The sequence below is a fragment of the Homo sapiens genome, chromosome 8 (genome assembly GCF_000001405.40).
Source record: "Homo sapiens chromosome 8, GRCh38.p14 Primary Assembly".
In the NCBI taxonomy this organism is placed as follows: Eukaryota; Metazoa; Chordata; class Mammalia; order Primates; family Hominidae; genus Homo; species Homo sapiens.
Window position 1 is genome coordinate 89770052 of NC_000008.11, and position 22712 is coordinate 89792763.

At 35.8% G+C, this 22712-nt stretch overlaps 1 protein-coding gene across 3 annotated transcripts in view, besides 1 other annotated feature; it reads left to right on the forward strand.

The window, feature by feature from the left end:
* Window positions 1-21013, forward strand: part of RIPK2 (receptor interacting serine/threonine kinase 2) — a 33249-nt gene extending 12236 nt beyond the window's left edge. For all 3 annotated transcript variants that reach the window (NM_003821.6, NM_001375360.1, XM_011517357.3), the window contains 7 exons: window positions 1690-1739; window positions 2616-2777; window positions 10024-10109; window positions 13999-14088; window positions 16542-16635; window positions 19270-19431; window positions 20028-21013. In NM_003821.6, coding sequence (NP_003812.1) covers window positions 1690-1739; window positions 2616-2777; window positions 10024-10109; window positions 13999-14088; window positions 16542-16635; window positions 19270-19431; window positions 20028-20365 — 982 coding nt within the window. In that variant the 3' untranslated portion in view covers window positions 20366-21013. The remainder of the gene's footprint in view (window positions 1-1689; window positions 1740-2615; window positions 2778-10023; window positions 10110-13998; window positions 14089-16541; window positions 16636-19269; window positions 19432-20027) is intronic.
* Window positions 20157-20357: a silencer, noted in NCBI's record as "peak7102 fragment used in MPRA reporter construct". NCBI's record gives its function as "represses an SCP1 promoter by STARR-seq MPRAs in K562 erythroleukemia cells {active_cell/tissue: K562}" and the evidence as "EXISTENCE:reporter gene assay evidence [ECO:0000049][PMID:32103011]".

The window sequence follows — 22712 nt, forward strand, 5'->3', positions numbered from 1 at the left end:
TAAACTTGAGGCCCCACGGTGATTAATATTTTTCAAATTAAGGAAATTTAATGATTTGCTTTAAGAAACTTTTACATCCTTTAAGAAATTTTAAAGCATCTCTTCTTATCCTATCAATTTATAATATAATAGTTAAGGATTTTTATCATATGTGACTTGGAAATGCAGAGGGAAACAGTGGTTCCTAACATTTTAGCTTTAGGTTTCTCAACCTGTTCAACCTTTTAGCTTTTGATATCTATATATCTTTTTAGATAAATAGACAAACTCTTAATCACACTGGGGATATTTCTATTTAAAGAATCCCTAATATTTGTATATGTGTGAATTTTTTATACAACAAATCAATGGGTTTGATAAGATCATATTTTCATATTTCAGATGCATATTACTTATAATCTCATAATGCAGTAATAAGCATAACACATTGTTATTGACACTGGTTATTTAACCAGAATAAAAGGAAGATGATTATTTACACAGGTTTAGGAGATGGGGACATTCACCTCATGTATAAGTTACTCTTATCTCTTTTAATATACTAATGAATGCAAAAGCAGACTCTCTAAGTTTGCTCTGAACACATTTTATAGTCCTTTAAATGGCTTTTTGCCATCTTTAATAAATAATTTGTTAATGAATCATTTTAGGAATGAATGCTATATCTCTACCAGAAAACTATATATTTAATTAAATTGCATATTCCTTTTCTTCAAAAGCATTTTAATTTTTGTTATTTCTCATTAAAACCAAAGCCAGCCAATCCATTTTAGTGGCTGCACTAAAACAATTCATACAGTGTCTTTTACATTCACATTGTATGAATATAAGAAACTGTCCTTTTATATTTTGTTTTCTGATATTTTTAATTCATTCTGAATGATGTACTGAGGGGAGGAGAAATGTATTTATAGCTTCCTAAGGTAGAGATCATGTTCTACCCAACAATTCTTAAAGCTGGTTTGATTCTATAAAAATGGGCCAATAAATCTGCCAGTCATTCATTTTGTGAATTTTCCCTTTATGTTCAATTTCAATATTCTCTGTCAGGGAAAAATGAGGAAATATTATTCCTTCATTTGGGTAGGAATTCCCTCTGTACTCCTCGCTCTCCCTGTAACACAAGGTGTTAGTAGTAATAAATTCTATGTGTCCATTTTGAATGCATGGTTAATGTTGGGGTGTGGCAAAATTCTTATATCCTATTTAACCATTTATTCTAATTATAAACTCTATGCAGCTTAACCCTGTAATTGACATCTGAAGTTAAACTGTAGGCAAGATATTTCTACTACCAAAGAAGATAGTGCTGAGAGCAGAAAAAAGGCAGTAGAATAGAGCTCCATGAGACAATTTTTTTCTTGTTCTTTGTTCTTTGTGAAAAATAATATCATTTAATTAAAGGGCATAGCTTATCTGGGTGTCCAAGAATTAAATCATCCACAAAAAGTTAATCTTGCATGTAACGTTAAGCTTGTATTACAGTAATTTCCTAATTTTTTAACTTAAAGTTGATTTTGTTTCCAAACTACATGAGCATTTATCATCTTCATTGTATACAGTAATTCTTTGCTGCCTTATCACTTTGAAAAATGGTATCTTCAGTCAGCTTTTAAAAATAGTGCTATTTTAGTTTATTATGCAGAGTTCATTTAAAATATGTAACATGTATGTTCTTATGTTAAACAGCTATGCAGTTATCACATGGGAAGTGTTATCCAGAAAACAGCCTTTTGAAGGTAAGTATGGTTTGACTTTTTTATGCTCAATAACATCATGTTAGTAGGTCACTCTCAGAACTATCTAAAAATCATGTTATTTTAAATCTGCTTATTCATTTTGTGGAAAACACACTAAAACAACCATTTATCAGTTGTGAATGCATCACATACTGCAAAATATACCGGGTTAAGGATCCAGTTGTGAGTCTACTATATACTGGAAAATGTACTGGATTAAGGATCAGAAAAACCCAGATTTTAATTCTTGTTCTGACAGTAATTAGCTCTGTGATCAAGTCACAAATCTCTTGCGTCCTCATTTTTGTCGCCTGCATAATAAGAATTTTAAATTACTATTTCCAAGTTCTAGTCTAGCTGTAAAATTATTTATATGATAATTTAATTACTACCCCCTCTATAAAGACTAGCAAATATCGAAGACTAATCTGTCCTTTTTATTCCCTGAAAATATTGTTTATTTCTTTATTTTGAGGTTTGTGTAGGTCAGCTTGTTGTGTAACAAAAAACAACCTCGGAATCTCCGTAGCTTATGAAATAAACATTTATTTCTCATTCACATTAAATATTGGTTGCTGTAGCCCTTCTTAGTTCTGCAAGGTTTCGCTCAGCTCTGCTTTACAAATACTCTGTTGACCAAATCCAATCACATGGTCAAGCCCAAAATTAATGAGGTGAGGATATAAACTCATTCCATAGGAATCAGACAAGTCTGGCAATGGTTTGGGGTATATATATTCCTTTTACAGAAAGGGGGGTAAGGCATCATTCCTAAAATTTCAATATTCACTTATTTTCTTTTAGTTAGTTTTAGATGTAAGTAATATGCTTAATCATAATATATTACTAATGAATGCAATCTATTTGTTTTGACAGATGTCACCAATCCTTTGCAGATAATGTATAGTGTGTCACAAGGACATCGACCTGTTATTAATGAAGAAAGTTTGCCATATGATATACCTCACCGAGCACGTATGATCTCTCTAATAGAAAGTGGATGGGCACAAAATCCAGATGAAAGACCATCTTTCTTAAGTGAGTATATAGTTTTAACCTAGACTCTTTGAATTACAGAATTAGTTAATATACTGTGAATAAAATATTCCTTGAAAAATTGTGCAAATTAGATGACTAGCTAGAAGTTGTTTAAATTATTTTCTGTCTTATCATAGCATTTATATATGAGTAACTCCTTCTAGAGCAGAATTGAGAATTCCTAACAAAAAAGAGAAATCGTGTGATAGGAGTAACAATTTCTTTCATATATTTAACAAATATGTCTTAAACCCCTACCATGTGCTATGTATATACTGGAGTGAGCCCTGGGAACAGAGTAGTAAACAAGACAAACTTTCTGTAGCTAGTTCACATTCTAGTTGAGAAGGCAGAGTGAAAACAAATAAATAAGCAAGATACACAAATTGTGACAGTCTTATAAGGAAATAAGCAAGGTAATAGACTAATTAAGGGAGGGAAACAAAGGCCTTTTTTTAGGGGCAAACATTTGAGCTGACATTTGAAGCTTGAAAAAGAGCCAGTCATTCAAATGCTGAAGAAAGAGTATTCAGCCAAACAAAACAGCAAGCATAAAGGCTCTGAGCCTAGAAGAGGAAAAAGTTTTATATTCTCAAGAAACAGTGAGAAGGCCTGTGTGGCTGGAATACAGTGAGCAAGGAAAGGAATTAGATGATATTGGAGAGTTAAGAGAGAGGCTATTGGCCATCATAAAAAGGTTAGATTTTTATTCCAAGTGCAATGGAAAGCCATTAAAGTATCTTTTGCAGGGAAGTGACATGATCTGATAGAAGTTTAGGTGAAATTCTTACTGCTGTGTGGAAAGTTGATTGGAGAAAGACAAAAGTGGAAGCAAAGAGGCTAGAAAAGACACTTTCAGGAATATTCTAATTAAGGTGGAAATTCTGAAGACAGAAGAGTTACAGAATTAAGATAGTATTTCAGAGGTAGAATGGATCAGACATCCAAATGTAAATGTAGGAGAAAATCTTCATGACCTAGGGTTAGGCAGAATCTTTAAATATGACATCAAAAATAAATAGGATTCATTAAAAAATTTATAATCAGACTTTGCAAACATTGGAAACTTTTCCACTTCGAAAGGTACTATTGAGAAAAGAGAAAGCCAGGCATTTAGTGTCCACGACTTTAGTCCCAGGTACTTAGGAGGCTGAGGCAGGAGGATCACTTGAGCCCAGGAGTTTGAGGATGTGTAATAGTGCACTGTGATCGTGCCTATGAATAGCTACTGCACTCCAACCTGGGCAACATAGCAAGACCTCATTTCCAAGAAGGAAAAAAAAAAGCAGAGCCACAGACTGGGAGAAAATATTTGCATAACATGTATCTGCTAAAGGGCTTGATTCTAGAATATATAAAAAACCCTGACAAGTCAATAATAGGACATATAGCCCTATTTTTAAATGAGTAAAAGATTTGAATTTCACCAAGGGAGATATACAAATAGCTAAAAAGCACATAAAATGATGCTTAATATTATTAGTCATTTGGAAATGCAAATTAAAACTGCAATGAGTTACCACTTCATACCCACAAAATAGCTATAATTAAAGACAGAAAATAACAAGTGTTGACAGTGATGTGGCAGAACCAAAATCCGTATACATTGTTGGTGGGAATATAAAATGATGCTGCCACTTTGGAAAACGGTTTGGCAGTTTCTTAAAAATGAAAGATAAATTTACCATACAACCAAGCAATCCACTAACAGGTAAACCAAGAGAAATGAAAACATATGTTCACACAGTTGTATGTGATTAGTGATAGCAGCATTGTTTATAATAGCCAGCAAGTAGAAACGGTCATAATTACTGCTGCTACTACTACAACAATACATGAATCTGTTGTTCCAGGAAGAGTCCAGGATCCTAATATAAAATTGAACATCACTAACATATTGATAGTCTGGACTGGTTCATCTAAGAAGGGAATATACATAGCAAAGAGAGGACCCATAGTAAAGCTCTGAGGCATTCCAGCACTTAGAAATTGAGAAGAGGAAGAAGAAAAAGGATTAAGGAAGAGAAGACAGTAGAGAGTGTAGTCCTTGTGTCTTGGAAGTCAAGGAGGGGTATAGTCGGACATGTTTAATCTGCCAGGAGGCCAAATGAGATAAGCAGGATTTTCCAACATTGTCATCACCGGTAATCCAAACAAATGGAGTTTTAATAGAGAGATGTAAACAGAAGACTGATGTACATTTAAAAAAAATAGAAAGAAGTGAAGGCAAATATGGAAAATTCCAGCAAGATGCTTGGCTCTGAACAGAAGCAGAAAAAAATGAGGTGATAGCTAAAGGATGATATGGGGTCAAAATTTTTTCCTATGGCCAGGCACAGTGGCCCATGCCTGTAATCCCAGCACTTTGGGAGACCAAGGCAGAGGGATTACTTGAGTTCTGGAGTTCCAGACCAGCCTAGGCAACACAGCAACACCTTGTCTCAACAAAAATAAAAATAAAAAAAAAATAAAAAATTAGCCAGACATGGTTCGTTGCCTGTAATCCCAGCTACTTGGGAGGCTGAGGCAGGAGGATTGCTTGAGCCCAAAATGTTGAGGCTGCAGTGAGCCTTGATTGTGCCACTGCACTTGCACTCCAGCCTAGCTGACAAAGCAAAATGCTGTTTCTTAAATAAAAAAAAAAAATCCTGGAGAAAGATAGATTACTTTATCTGGAAAAAATACTCTACTGGAAAAAATGATCCAGTAGAGAGTCAGAGATTGTCAGTGCAAGAACTGAGAGAGAGTATCAGAAACAGAATGCTGGAGAGGTGGAGGAAATGGTATTCAGAATGCAAGTGATACTGTTTACATTTGTATGAGTATATGGACACTTTTTTCTACTGTAAGAGAAATGAGGTTGGAGAGATGGATACAAGTACAAGAAGTTTGTAGATCTGGTTATAGAACCCTGAAGGAATTCCCTCTCATGGCTTCTATTTTCTCAGTGTAGTATGAGAGCAGATGATCAGCTAGCTCAAAGGAAACATGGAGGATGGGATGTAAGAGGCTGAAAAAGGGAAGATAAAGTACAATGCCTATTACCCCTGCCTTCCCTTTCTAAGTTCAGAATATATTAAGAAAAAGCCGAGGAAGAAAGATAGATGTTGATCAGAATATCAGTTTCATTACTGATAAAGCTAATTGGAGAATGTACCTTTAGATCTGCAGCCAAATGGGCTTAGTAGCATTTTACCCCTACAGTTGATAGCTTTACCAGCCCACCACAGGCCTCACCCTGCTTCTACATAGGGAAGCAGAAAATGTATGCATTCTTTAGGCAAGCTGACTTTTAAAAGAAGGAGAAAACTGCAAAGGTACCAAATAAGCATGCTTAGTTTTTCTCCAAGTTTAATAAATGAGGTAAGTCTGAGGGGCAGAAAGGAGCTGGAAGAATTCCTCCTATACTTCTCTTTCCTGAGGATTGAACTGGAAATGTCATCTTCCTGTTGGAAACATGAAGAAAAGGACTTAAGTGTCTCCTCCAACAGTACGAGATAATTATGTAAGACAGCAATTCTCAAACTTAGATCTCAAGACTCTTCAAAATTATTGAGGACTTCAAAGAGCTTTTGTATGTGTGGGTAATATCTATTAGCATTTACTGTATTAGAAATTAAAACCAAGGAATTTTAAAATGTAGGAATATACAAGAACACATTCCATTATCTGTTGAAGCAGTGATCTTATCACACCTTATTTATGGGCCTCTGGATAAATCCACTATATACTTGTTTGGGGATGACAGTGAACAGGGAAAATAATGTCTTAGTACTTGTTATTTTGAATATAGTTTTGACTTCATGAACCCTCAGGAACCACCCCCGCCAGGGGTCCCTGGACCACACTTTAAGAACCACTTATCTATGAGAACAGAATAGTAGATGTATTTAGGAAGCAAAATAGGATTGCTGAGAAGTGGTATTTAGTGTCTAGTTTGGGCCGTTAATTTAGAGAAACCAGCGACCCCACTTCTGGCCAAGATGGAGTAACTGGGGCCAATTTACCCTCCTGCCTGAAACAACCAAAAAACCTAGACAAAATATGTGAAACTGGTTTTTAAGACACTAAATATCAGGAAACAAAGAGCAGCAATCTCTGATGGATGGGAAACAAATGAAGTGAGCCTTCCGATTGCCCAGCTTCCTGCCTTGAGAGTTTCTAGATGCAGCATGGGGAGAGGAAACAGGTGGAACCCAGTGGACACTCAGGGTCAAGGAAACAGGGATGACAGTGTGGGTAGACCAAGGCAGACAGACTTCATAGGACATTGCACCAGAAGGGAAAAGGTACACAGAGTGAGAACCCCAGAGATTTCAGAGGGTTCCTCTCAAGTATTCAGTGGAGCACTGATCAGTACAGGGTGAAGTCAGTAAGCCAAAAGCCAAAATCTTGAGCATAGGAGAAAGGAGAAGTTTGCAGAGAAGTAAGTATTGCCTAATGGCATGAACTTTAGAGGATCTAGAATTTTCACAGAAAGAAGAAATTACGATTTGGAAATGGCAAAGAGAGGACAACAGAGATATATACCCTTCCTCATGGCTCTGGAAAGAAAGAAACAAAATGTGAACCCATTACCTTAGCAACTTTTGATTTGTAAATATAATGCTGATGAACAATGGATATAAGTATTGAATGAAAAATACAATGCATTATTTTTCTAGTAATAAGAACTTAGAGTTTATTTTTAAACTGTCTTAACTGAAATGGCCTATAAACATATCCAGCTTTGTATCTAATAGTACAGTGTGAGTGTGTGTGTGTGTGTGTTTAATTTATCACATTTCTTACAAAGTACTGTTGTCTGCCTTAGACATGTTTCATTTATAGCCATTGGGATGCTACTGGTTTTGTTGTTATTGTTAGGTTTTGAACTTTGTTTTTAAATGGAAGTACAACTTTTTTTTCCTAGGATGACTGTTTCCTATTTTCAGTGGGAAGGTACCATCATTGATTTATAAACACACTACTGCCTATACAGCCTGTCAGTTTTATTTTAAGGCTCTGGTGTATATTGGAATGTTGAAAAGCAGATTCTGGGAACCTGAAAGGGAAAGGAAGAAAAAAAAATCAATAATAAGGAAAGTTTAAGTGTATTCAGTAAAGAAATTCTGTCAATAGGACCAAATGGAAGAACATGAAATTACAAAGGGATCTCTAGATACCAGAGTAAGCACAAGATGCCTACTTTTGGACAAACCTACTGAAAAGAAATGAAAAGTTCACAATGAAAGAAATTTTAATAAAAAAATAAAGGAAGCTTGAAAAACTAAAAGCAAGCAATATTTTTCCTTTTTTTAAAAAAAATATAGGTTAACTGAATTAAGGAAAAGAGGAAGATCAGTAAACCTTTGTTGAAAAAGTAACTAGAGAGTATATATTCTGAAAATGGATTTAACTGTTCAATTAATATACATATTAAATGGCAAAGTAACACAGTAGCAGAGAGGAATCATATAATAAAGATTATTTTTTTCAAAAGCCTATCAAAGTATAATTTACTTACCATAAAATTTATCTATACATTCATTGACTTTTTAGTATTAATAATTTTACAGTTTGCAACCATTACTATAATCCAATTTTCAAGTATTTCCATCACCCCCTACAAAATCCCTCCTAACTATTTGCAGTCACTGCCTGTTCTCACCACTAACCCTAGGTAACCAGTAATCTATTCTCTGTCTTTCTAGATTTGCCTTTTCTGGATATTTCATATAAATGGAATGATAACAATGTGTGGTCCTTTTGCATCTGGCTCTTTTCACACTTAGCGTAATGTTTCTCAGGTTCATCCAGGTTTCGGCATGAATCATAGTTCAGTAATTTATTGTTGAATAATACATCATCATATGGATGTATCCCATTTTGTTGATCCATTGGCCAGTTGATGAACATTTTGATTGTTTCTACTTGTTGCCTCTGTGAATAATGCTGCTATGACTGTTCACATACAAGTCTGTGAACATATGTTTTCATTTCTCTTGGTTAATTATCTGTGAATAGAATTGCTGGGTTATATGATAAATTTATCTTTAATTTTTAAGAAACTGCAAGCTGTTTTCCAAAGTAGCTGCATTATCTTATTCCCACCAGCAATGTATGAGGTTTTCATTTTCTCCACGTCACTGTCAACACTTCTTATTTTCCTTTTAATTATATTTTAGTGAGTATGGAGTGATATCTCATTGCAGTTTTAAAGTGCCTTTTCTTATGATGTTAAGCATCTTTTCATGTGCTTCTTGAAGACATTTGTATATCTCCTTTAGTGAAATTCAAATCTTTTACTTGTTTTTTAATTTTGCTATTTTTCCTGTTATTGTCATGGGTCTGTATATATTGTAGATACAAACCCTTTAGCAGATACATGATGTGGAAATATAGTGTGCAAGGCTGCAGCTTATCTTATTTTTTCTTAATACTGTCTTGAAGTGCAAAAGTGTTCAAATTTTTTGAAGTCCAATTTTTAGGCGGTTTTTGGGTTTTTTTTTTTTTTTTTTTTTTGAGATGGAGTCTTGCTCTGTTGCCCAGGCTGGAGTGCAGTGGCACAATCTTGGCTCACTGCAAGCTTCACCTCCTGGGTTCACACCATTCTTCTGCCTCAGCCTCCCGAGTAGCTGGGACTGCAGGTGCCCGCCACCACGCCCAGCTAATTTTCTTTTTTTGTATTTTTAGTAGAGACGGGGTTTCACTGTGTTAGCCAGGATGGTCTCAATCTCCTGACCTGGTGATCTGTCCGCCTCGGCCTCCCAAAGTGCTGGGATTACAGGTGTGAGCCACCATGCCTGGCCCAATTTTCAAGTTTTTTAATGGATTTCATTTTTGATGTCATATCTAAGAACTCTGCCTAACCCAAGATCATGAGGATTTTCTCCTATGTTTACATTTAGGTGTGTGGTTCATTTCAAGTTAGTTTTTATGTGTAGTGTGATATAAGTATCTAAATTTATCTGTTTCCAGGTGTATATCCAACTGTTTTAGCATCATTTATTGAAAAGGCTATGCTATCATTTCCCCATTGAATTGGCTTAGCACATTTGTCCAAAAACAGGTGTTTTTAGATTCTCAACACTATTCCATTGTTGCTTATGTCTATCTTTATGTCAGTAATAAAAGCTCGTAAAACAGCTGAATGTCATCACTTTGGGGAAAAACTGACTTGAGGCCTTGTACATTAAATGTTAGCATTTCACTTTAATACTTAGAAGCAATCTGAACTCAACCTGTATTTTTTTCTCTTATGTAGAATGTTTAATAGAACTTGAACCAGTTTTGAGAACATTTGAAGAGATAACTTTTCTTGAAGCTGTTATTCAGCTAAAGAAAACAAAGGTAAGTTGCTAAATGAAATGCTGGAAATTAGAAATTTAAACAACTATATAATATTCATGGAGATTTTTAGTTAAGTGTAGTTTTTAATATATATACTTTACACAGATATAAGCTACAGTTTTGGAGTGAGAAAATTTACCAGAGACTATGAATACTACTTTTCCTTTGTCACCAAAAGCTTTTCTATTTCATTCAAATGGCCACCTTCAGATTTTAAAGACATTTCCAGGACCAGGCGTGGTGACTCACACCTGTAATCCCAGCACTTTGAAGGCCAAGGCGAGTGAATCACTTGAGCCCAGGAGTTCGAGACCAGCTGGGCCACATAGCAAGACCCCACCTTTATTTAAAACGTAAAAAAAAAAAAAAAGACATTTCCAGAACCCTTATATATCAGACATAAATTTAAAAATGTATAATCACAGCCAGTTGTGTACAATGAATGCACTGAGCCATTAGAGGTGTTTGTTTTTTAATGTACATTTATTTTCCCAAAGTTGTAATGCCTAGAGAATAATAGATGTCTGGGTTCTCGCACTTCTCTTTTTATTTAATGTACATTTTTTTCTGAGATTCCTCGCCAAGTTTAGCTGTAGAATTTTTATTAAATTTGAGACCAAAGTGTGTTTGTGGTTTGTTTTTTCATTTTTCCTCTCAAACACTTCATGTTTTATAGACCAAGGTAGCAGTAACAGTTTATATGAATTACCTAGGAGAGTTGTATTAAATACTCAGTCTGATTCTTGTGGGTCGGAACAATTTAAGGGACCTATTACTGCAGGGGTTTTTTTTTTTTTAATATTACTCAAAATTGTTTAAAAAGCAACCACAGTTCATTAGGGCAAGTGCTAAACTATGCTTACTTTGCCCTAATGAACTGTGGTTTGTTAGGGGATATAGGTTTCATTAAATTGTACTTAATATATGATATAAAAACCAGCAGTTAGCCAAACTCTTGGGGTGTGAACAAGCAACATCTACAATTTTTATCACAAAATGACATTGCTTGCCTGCCCCTTGTGGGTTGCTGGATCTAGTGACATAACCCTTGGTTTCAAAGGGAAATGCATAAAGGAAGGAACTAAAGAGGAACTGTGTTTTCATTCTTTTAATAACTTTTCACTGGCTCCACCACTTCTGAGTAGGTAGTGTTTTCCAGAAAATACCAATTTCTCTCTTCCTTAATAGATTGAATTTTTTTTTTTTTTTTTTTTTTAGTTTTTAAAGACAGGGTCTCCCTCTGTCGCCCAGGCTGGAGTGCCATGACAGGATCATAGCTCACTGCAACCTCGAAGTGCTGGGCTCAAGCAGTCCTCCCACCTCAGCATCTCCAATTGCTTGAAACTACAGGCGTGGGCTACCACACTCAGCTACTTTTTAAGTTGCCATATTTTTTCCACTCAGGATTGTTCTTTTTTTTAAAAAAAATCTTGTATCAATTCTGTGATACTTATAGGGCAAGAATATCATCTGATTTTTGTAGATAAGATAACTAAGGTACAGTAGTCTTCCCTTATGCATGGGAGATACATTCCAAGACCCTGGTCAATGCCTGAAACCATGGGTAGCACTGAACCCTATGTATACTGTACATACATACCTATCATACATACATACTTACTTTTCCCATGCATATATACCTATGATAAGGTTTAATTTATAAGATAGGCACAGTAATATATTAACAATAACCGATAATAAAGTAGAACAATTCTAACAATATTCTGGCATCACTATTCTTGCACTTTGGGCCATTAGTAGTAAGAGTTGACTTAATTAGTAATAAGAGTTATTTGAACAGCCTAGGCAATGTGGCAAAAAAACATAACAAAACAAAACAAAAAATATAGCTGGGTGTGGTGGCACATGCCTGTAGTCGTAGCTACTGAGGGCTGAGATAGGAGGATCACTTGAACCCAGGAGGTAGAGGCTATAGTGAGCTGGCACTCCAGCCAGGGTGACAGAGTGAGACCCTGTCTCAAAAAAAAAAGTTACTTGAGTACAAGCACTGTGATCCTGACAGTTGTTCTGGTACTAACAGGGTGGTAGCTTATACAGCATGGATATGCTGGACAAAGGGATGATTCACATCCTGGGTGGAATGGAGCTGTAGGTTCATCATACTACTTAGAACTGCATGTGACTTAAAACTTATGAATTGTTTATTTCTAGAATTTTACATTTAATATTTTCAAACCACAGTTGAGCAAGGGTAATGGAAACTGCGGAAAGTGAAACCAAGATAAGAGGGGGACTACCGTATAGGGAAGTTAGTCACTTATGTACATCTCACACAGTAAGCTAATGTCAGGGACAACAGTAGAACACGAATTAAATAAGATTCTTCATAAAGAAATTTCTGAGCTAGGTGTGATGGTACATGCCTATAGTCCCAGTTACTCTGAAAGCTGAAGCAGGAGGATCTCTTGAGCCCAGGAGTTCCAGTCCAACCTGGGCAACATACCAAGACCCTGTCTCTTAAGAAAAAAAAAAAAAAAATTCTGAAAGCCAAAATTAGTAGGGAAATTTGTTTTGAGTTTCCTACATTTTTTCAACTCTTGGAATCAGCTCCCGTAATTTATGTTTTCCTAGGTAATTGGCTTCTAAATCTTGAATAATAAACACTGAATAAACATAGTTTTTCTTCAGTTGTTCATTTCTTCTTAGGGACAGATTCACTAATTCACAAGTAATTTGAATTATCATAACTGATCAGTTATGAAAAACTGTTACTAATTCAAGGATATTGCATTATCAGAAATGTTTTGGCAAATTTTATAAGCAGAGGAAAACCTCACATAACAGAGATAAAACCAAAAACTCATTTTAAAGGGTCATATAACAATATGTTTATAGATGTTTATTGAACTGCTGTGTATAACGCCCTGTGCTAGGTACATTATATACACAGATGAATAAGAGTAATTTCCTTCTGAAGTTCCTTAGCCATGTAAATGGAGTATGCAGTCATAAATGTGCATAATGGATGGCTGGGTGTGAATTCACCATTTTCCAAATTCTGAAGAGTAGTTGACATTATGATGGTCTGGGGAAGAAAATGATTGATAGGTTTGTATTTAAATCACTGAGTAGTGATGGAAACTAATCCAAGCCTAGCTTATATAGACAGGAATAAACCACTTAATTTTAACACAAAAGAATAGTATTTAAGTAAATCATCTACTCAGCAGCTACCATTTATTGAATGCTTACAAGTAATGTTTGGGCCTTTTTGCATATATTACTTTTCATTTTCCTCACAGTAATCCTTCAAAATAGGAATTTTTATCTCCAGTGTACAGATAAGTAAACTGAGATTAAATCTAATGTCTCACGTCAAACAGATGTGGGTCTCTAAATCACATCTGATTGGCTCCATGGCCCTGCCATTCCATTATTGACACTCTACCTCCTTTACTTAGTCCAAGCCTCAATCTCTTAACTATAAAATGAAAATAATAATAGTACTTACAGGCACAGTGCCTAAAATGTGGTAAATACTTAACTATAGATAGACATACAATCACACTCCCAAAAATTCCCAAAAATTTATTAAGTACCTAGTTTATACCAGATATTTCATATTTATAAGCTCAATCTCTAGAACCATCCTGCATGTAGGTAATTGTTAGATTTCGAGGATGAAGCTCTGAGACACTGAGAGAAGGTAACCAATTAATATGAGCCAGGATTCAAAGTCTGTGTTTCTAAAGTTATTTCCCGTTCTACACTGTCTTTTCCTTCAGTTATATGTTATATTCTCAACTCTTTATATTTTCTTTCCATGTATTTTGTACAAACATATAAAATGTGTTAGATTGTATTTTACTTCTATAATTTCCTAATCATCTCCAGTTAAAGTGTATATATATTTATGTATTCATTACAGTTACAGAGTGTTTCAAGTGCCATTCACCTATGTGACAAGAAGAAAATGGAATTATCTCTGAACATACCTGTAAATCATGGTCCACAAGAGGTAAAAAAAAAAAAAAAAAAAAAAAGGTTATATTAAACTCAAAATGTGAGAAGAATTTGAAAAAATCATTTGGTCTAAGCCCTTCTTTTATAGAAGGAAAACTAAAGCCCAGGGAGCTTTTAGGATTTGTTTGGTAGCTCATGTCAATCTCCAACTTGAAACCCAGCTGTACTGATTCTCAGTTCATTGTTCATCCCATCAAATCACAATTATTGCTTCTTTGTTTGACATTGAGTTCTGTCCCTGTCATTGTTTTATACAATAAATGATATCCCAGGGTATTATGTAGGCAAATCATTGATTACAGTTTTAACACTGTATTTATGCTACCTTGTTCTTACCTCTTATAATAATTAATGAGAGGAAAACATTGCTGCCTAGGAAGAAAGATCTCTTTAGTAGCATTCAATCAGACTTATATTAGTCTGAATTAGTAATTTCTTTTAAGAATGTATATGTATGTTCATTTTACAGAATTAGAAAAGTAACATAGATTGAGCATCCCTAATCCAAAAATCCAAAGCCCTCCACAGTCCAAAACTTTGAACACCAACATGATGCCACAAGTGGAAAATTCCACACCTGTGTTAGTCTGTTTATCGTTGCTATAATGAAATACCTAAGAGTAGGTAATTTATAAAGAAAAGAGGTTTATTTGGCTCACAATTCTGGTAGCCAGAAAGTCCAGGATTGGGCAGCTGCATCTGATGAGGACCTTAGGCCGCTTGCACTCATGTTGGAAAGTAGAAGGGGAGCGAGCTATGCAGAGAAATCACATGGTGAGACAGGATGCAGGAGAGTGAAAATGAGGAAGTCAGGTTCTTTAACAGCTTGCTCTCTCAGGAATCCACTCACCACTTCTAGAATGGCACCAAGCTATTCATGAGGGATCTTCCCCCATGACCCAAACACCTCCCATTAAGCCCCACCTCCCAACACCACCACATTGGGGATCAAATTTCAATGTGAGATTTAGTGGGGACAAACAAACCATATCAAACCATAGCAACATCTGACCTCATATGATAGGTCGCAGTCAAAACATTGTTTCATGGGTGGACACGATGGCTCAAGTCTGTGATCCCAGAACTTTGGGAGGCCAAGGTGGGTGGATCACTTGAGGTCAGGAGTTCGAGACCAGCCTGGCCAACATGACAAAACCCCATCTCTACTAAACATATAAAAATTAGCTGGGCATGGTGGCGCATGCCTGTAATCCCAGCTACTCGGGGGGTTGAGGCAGGAGAATTGCTTGAACAAGCCAAGATCGCACCACTGCAGTCCACCCTGGGCGACTCCACCTCAAAAAAAAAAACTTTGTTTCAGGTATAAAATTATTTTAAAATATTGAATTAAGTTACCTTCAGGCTGTGTGTATAAGGTGTATATGAAACATAAATGAATTTTATATTTAGACTTGGGTCCCAACCCCAAGATATCTCGTTATATATATACAAATATTCCAAAATCTGAAAAAAATCCAAAATTCCAAACACTTCTGGTTCCAAGCATTTCAGATAAGGGATATTAAACCTGTAGTATCTTTAAAACGAACCTTAAAGCATAGTATATCACATTTTTAATCACTTGATGTACAGTATTTCATTTGATCTTTGAGGCCATTCATGCATATTTTTAGATAGACAGTGCGGATAATAGAGCCAAAAACCTGAGAGCCAGAGAGGTTAAATACCTTATTGAAAGTTAGCTAGTGATTCCATGACAGAGCTAGGAGTAAAATTCTCCATTACTTTTTCCATGTTTTCCTGTGCCTCCATGTGGAAGGAACCTGAGGTGCTGAGAACAGGCATTTCTAAATCTGTAGGAGACCAGACTTGCAGATACCAAATTTCTCATTCACTATTCTAGCTACTGGCTGCAGCATCTGAGATCGTGTAGAAAATACTGAAAAAATAATTATTTCTAATGTTTCATTATTCCCCTATTTCGCCCATTTGTGTTAATTAAGAAAATAAGTTTATCTTTGTTGGTTATTTTATAGATGTATGTGTTTCTTTAATTTTGTAAAGTATAATTTTTAGTAGTTTTGTAGGTTGGGCACAATGGCTCACACCTGTAATTCCAGCACTTTGTGTGGCCAAGGCTGGTGGATCACTTGATCGCAGGAGTTTGAGACCAGCCTGGGCAACGTAGCGAAACCCCATTTCTACGAAAGATACAAAATTTAGCATGGTATGGTGGTGTGCACCTATAATCCCAGCTATTAAGGAGGCTGAGATGGGAGGTTCACCTGAGTTCAGGAGGGTGGGGCTGCAGTGAGCCTAGGTTGTGCCACTGCACTCCAGACTGGGCAACAGAGTGAGACCCTGTCTGAAAAAAAAAAATTAGTAGTTTTTATCTTCATTTGTGATAAGCCACAAACAAGAACTATTTAGAAATTAAAGCTCGATAATTTTTATTAACCTAAACCCTTTATTTTTTATTTACTTTAGGAATCATGTGGATCCTCTCAGCTCCATGAAAATAGTGGTTCTCCTGAAACTTCAAGGTCCCTGCCAGCTCCTCAAGACAATGATTTTTTATCTAGTATGTAGATTTTCCAATCATTATTTACTTGCAAGTTTTCCATTTTCTTTCAAGATCAAATTTTTGCAAGCAGTCATGATTTCTATGGAACTTTAATTTGCATATATAACTCATTTTGTAAAGCGACAGAGTCTAAAGATAGGAAAATAGTAGTGTGATATTCAACAAATACATTTAAGTTTTAAGGCATTATGTTTGGCCAGGCGCAGTGGTTCACACCTATAATCCCAGCATGTTGGGTGGCCAAGGTGGGCAGATCACCTGAGGTCAGGAGTTCGAGACCAGCCTGGCCAACATGGTGAAACCCCATCTCTACTAAAAATACAAAAATTAGCCAGGCATGGTGGTGGGCACCTGTAGTCTCAGCTACTTCGGAGGCTGAGGCGGAAAGATCGCTTGAACCTGGGAGGGAGGTTGCAGTGAGCCGAGATTGCACCACCACACTCCATCCTGGGCGACAGAGTGAGACTCTGTGTCAAAAAATAAATTTTAAAAAACAGGCATTATGTTAGACACTGCCAGAAAATGTCCGCAAAAAAATCTCTTACAAGAAAAAGGAGAAATGTTTCTAAATAACTATTATATGAGATAGTGATATAAGAGAGACGTGGATCTAGAGCTATGGTAGTACAGTGGAAGAGTAACACTGTACAAAGGACTTTCACAACAACCTTGTGAGAGAAATGTCCTCATTTTACACATTTAAGGACTCTGGATCACATAGCTAGTAGCTGGCACATCTAAGACTTTTGATAAATATTATCATGTCACTCTACTCTACCATGTTGTCATCATGAAATTATTTCTGGCTGAAGGCTGGATCTGTAATTACAAAGGATAGGCATTCCAGGCAAAAGGAACAACATACAGGTACAGAAGCAAGAAAATACAGAGAACAGTGAGTAATTTGGTTTAGCTAGTAAAGAAGGTGAATGAAAGAAGTAAGAGCTAAGTAGATTGGAGTCATATCATCAAGAATTCTAACTTTCAGCTGAACTATTTGGACTTTTTTACTTGAGTAGGAAGCAACTATTGCAATTTTTTGAGCAAGGGAGTGACATAAAATTTTTTACTTTGGGGAGATTCATTCTGGCTGGAATGTGTAGGATATTTTGAAAGGAAAAGGAAACTTGAGATGGGGAGATCAGTTAGGAGACTATTACTGTAGTACCCGTGAGAGATTATTAAGAACCGATACAGAATGAAAGAAAGGAGGGGTGGTATGTGAGATGTTATAGACAACTAGATGATAGGACTTTGTAACTTTTCACTTAGAGGAGCGATGAGAGAAAAAAGAGGTAAAGCCAAATAAATTGTTAAGCCTGGGGACTGGGAGAACATTGGTGCCATTAAAAGAAATAGAAGTTAAAACAGGCTGCATGCGGTGGCTCACACCTGTAATCCCAGCATTTTGCAAGGCCAAGGTGGGCAAATCACTTGAGGCCAGGAGTTCAAGACCAGCCTGGCCAACATGCCAAAACCCCATCTCTACTAAAAATACAAAAAAATTAGCGGGTATGGTGGTGCACACCTGTAATCCCAGCTCCTCAGGAGGCTGAGGCACAAGAATCACTTGAACCTGGGAGGCAGGGGTTGCAGTGAGCTGAGATTGCGCCACTGCACTCCATCCTGAGTGACAGAGCAAGATTCTATCTCAATTAAAAAAAAAAAAAGTTAAAACAAGTTTTAGAGTTAAGACGGATAATTATACTTTTAATGTTTTTGTTTTTGTTTTTAATTTGAGGTACTAGGAGCACACAAAGGGTTGATGGCCAGAGGGCTTTTGAAAATATAACACTAAGGTTCATGGCTGAGTGTAGTGGCTCACACCTGTAATCCTAGAACTTTGGGAGGCTGAGACAGGTGGATCACCTGAGGTCACGAGTTCAAGACCAGCCTGGCCAACATGGTGAAATTCCATCTCTACTAAAAATACAGAAATTAGCCAGTTGTGGTAGCATGCAACTGTAATCCCAGCTACTTAAGAGGCTGAGGCAGGAGAATCGCTTGAACCTGAGAGGTGGAGGTTGCAGTGAGCTGAGATCGCAACCATTGCACTCCAGCCTGGGTGGCAAAAGCAAAACTCCATCTAAGAAAGAGAGAGAGACAGAGAGAGAGAGAGAGGGAGGGAGGGAGGCAGGGAGGGAGGAAGGAAGGAAGGAAAGAAGGAAGGAAGGAAATATAAGACGAAAGTTCAATGAAGACAGAAAATGTAATTGCGTGGATTTGGGAATAGAGGGGATGATTAAGTCCCTGAGGCTCAGTGGGATTGCCAGAAGAGAAACTAGAAAGACAGACATCATATATAGATTTAGAGAACATACTTAAACTTCAGAAGGAGTAAGAAGACACACAGGAAAAATATGGGACTATGTAAAGAAGTAAAATTCTATGATTTATAATTTACACAGAACAGACAATTTCTGACAGAAATTGTAGTGAAAGCATTCCATATAAACCCTTTTTTGTTTTAAGAAATATCTACTTGCAGAATTAGGTTTCTGAACCAGCCTTAATATTAGTGGAAACTAAAGACATTGGAGCCTACCTTCTGTCTGCTCAGATGTTGACATGTTAGCCAATAGGAATTTCTAAGGAGTATTCTACTTCTAATGAAGATGTTGTATTTTGTAGGAAAAGCTCAAGACTGTTATTTTATGAAGCTGCATCACTGTCCTGGAAATCACAGTTGGGATAGCACCATTTCTGGATCTCAAAGGGCTGCATTCTGTGATCACAAGACCACTCCATGCTCTTCAGCAATAATAAATCCACTCTCAACTGCAGGAAACTCAGGTAAATATTTACTGTGAAACACCTTGTAAGTGATGCCATTGACCTTACATATCTGTGTTCAGTGGATTTACCATACAATGAGGTTTGTCTTTATTTCCTCAATATGATAAATACATACCTTCTTAAGTAGGAAAACAAATCCCAGGAGATGGGAATGATGACATGGCCCAAATGGTATTCTATGAACATCTAAATAGGGAGGCAGTGCTAAGAGGAGGTATTAACATATTACTAATGGTAAAGTTATTTTTGTTTATTTAAAAAATTTGCAGGTATCTTTTATATTTGAAATAAAATGGACATCAAACAAAACTGAACAAATCCCAGAAGATGGAAATGATGACATAAAGTGGTTTTTGCCCCGTGATTTATACCATAGGAAAAGGCAATGCCTTTTCTGGGGAGTGAGGGGGAGATAACCCAAATCTCTGAATGTTTCCTGAAAAATGACACCATTCCCCAAAGTGTTGGTGTTCCATATTGGCACAATCATAGGAAAATTATGTTTTATGCTTTATTTATTTTTCATGGAATTTTACTTATTGCTATGTATCTGTCCTCACCTTTTAAATTATTCATTCCTTGTTCTTTTTCAGAACGTCTGCAGCCTGGTATAGCCCAGCAGTGGATCCAGAGCAAAAGGGAAGACATTGTGAACCAAATGACAGAAGCCTGCCTTAACCAGTCGCTAGATGCCCTTCTGTCCAGGGACTTGATCATGAAAGAGGACTATGAACTTGTTAGTACCAAGCCTACAAGGACCTCAAAAGTCAGACAATTACTAGACACTACTGACATCCAAGGAGAAGAATTTGCCAAAGTTATAGTACAAAAATTGAAAGATAACAAACAAATGGGTCTTCAGCCTTACCCGGAAATACTTGTGGTTTCTAGATCACCATCTTTAAATTTACTTCAAAATAAAAGCATGTAAGTGACTGTTTTTCAAGAAGAAATGTGTTTCATAAAAGGATATTTATATCTCTGTTGCTTTGACTTTTTTTATATAAAATCCGTGAGTATTAAAGCTTTATTGAAGGTTCTTTGGGTAAATATTAGTCTCCCTCCATGACACTGCAGTATTTTTTTTAATTAATACAAGTAAAAAGTTTGAATTTTGCTACATAGTTCAATTTTTATGTCTCTTTTGTTAACAGAAACCACTTTTAAAGGATAGTAATTATTCTTGTTTATAACAGTGCCTTAAGGTATGATGTATTTCTGATGGAAGCCATTTTCACATTCATGTTCTTCATGGATTATTTGTTACTTGTCTAAGATGCAATTTGATTTTATGAAGTATATACCCTTTACCCACCAGAGACAGTACAGAATCCCTGCCCTAAAATCCCAGGCTTAATTGCCCTACAAAGGGTTATTAATTTAAAACTCCATTATTAGGATTACATTTTAAAGTTTTATTTATGAATTCCCTTTAAAAATGATATTTCAAAGGTAAAACAATACAATATAAAGAAAAAAATAAATATATTAATACCGGCTTCCTGTCCCCATTTTTAACCTCAGCCTTCCCTACTGTCACCAACAACCAAGCTAAATAAAGTCAACAGCCTGATGTGTATCTTTCTGTCCCTTTCTTCCTGCTTATATTTAGAACATATGCTCATTTGAGAAAGGATCTTTCTGCATATTATTATTATAATTATACATCATACTGCAACCTGCTTTTTGCATTTAATAGTACAGCCTTCCAGATCAGATATGGCTCTAACTTACTCTTTTTACTTGCTGCCTAATACCCACAGTTTTTATTTTCTTAACTTGTCCATATCAAATTTAGCCCAAACAATAAAAGTACGGTGTGAGCACTTTTTTGGTTAATAGGTTATATTACTATAGGAGAACTTACAAGGAATAATAGCCCTTTTCTGAAACTGCGTAGCGAAGTCAGCAGAAAGTGAGATACAGAATAAATTTGAAAAGATGAACTTTCAAGAAGCAACAGACCCACAACCTGAAAAGTTTGAATAAAAGAAATTAGATGCCATTGAGGTAATTAAATATTAATTAGAAATATAAGCATTTTAATCTCCATTTTAGAGCTTGACATTAACTTGTACCTCTTACTGTGCCTTTCAGAAATATGGAAATTAATAGGGAAAAGTGAAAACTAAACACATGAGTTATCTATTAAATTTTAAAAAGCATTAAGATGCAAATTTTATTTGTGAAGTAATAAATAGAGAAAATTATTTTGGAAGCTTTCCCTTTTCTCTATACATACTCTAAAAAGAAATTATTTTGACTATTGATGGCCTCAAATTGATGTTTATACTGATTTCATGAGGTATATCTGGATTGATAAAATGAACTTTGCCTTGTTTTTTATTCTCTGCAAAGATCTAAAAACTCATAGTTTGTGTGCTTTATGGCTATGTGCTTACAGTCACTTTCTCCCACAATTTTCTGTATGGAAGACACGTGTAGTCATCCGTCATCACAGCTCTGCAAACTTTTTCTGCGTAAATAATAACATGTTGATAAGTAAGAAGATGTTGTCAGGGATTAAGATGAATCTGCAGTGAGCTCTCATCATCTCTTCATGGGATTGTTACAATCTCAGCAGTTGGTTTTTATTATAACCCCTATTTAGTAACTGCTACTTAGAGGAAGATGAGACAGATTATGCTGAGTATGACTAGTTAGTGTAGAACAGGGTCTGGCATAGAGTAGGCACTTTTTGAATAACTCTTTAATGAATAGTGCAATGGAATGAAAACATAGAGAAGGGGAGATGTTTCCTTTAAATCTTATTTCCAAAAATGTAGTGCAAGCACAGCTAGTAGTAAGTGGGATTATTTTAGGTCATATGTAGGCTCACCACTAAATGGCATTTGAGTCACTTAGTAAAGGACATTCTTTTCCGTTCTTTTTTGAGCCTTATAATTAAATAAAGGAGAATATCTCAATTTTTTTGCTAACATCTTTTTATCCCCCTCGTTAACAAAATGAGAATAGGCTTTAGGCTCAGAACTTCAGAGACTATTTACCAAGAATTTTATGGTTTTTTTTGTTGCATTCTATTTGAAATTTATACTTCTACATATGACAAGTAATAGTTTTCTGTTTATACTAAAGTTTTATTACATAATATTTAAATAAAGACAATTTAAGTACTATTAAGTAAATTATAATATAGATAGGACATGAATGGGCCAGCAATCATAGAAGTAGTAAGAAAATGACAGATTAAAATTCAGTCACTCCAGGAAGGGACCTAGTAATTTATTTTTTAACTAGCTAGTACTAGATAATGCTAG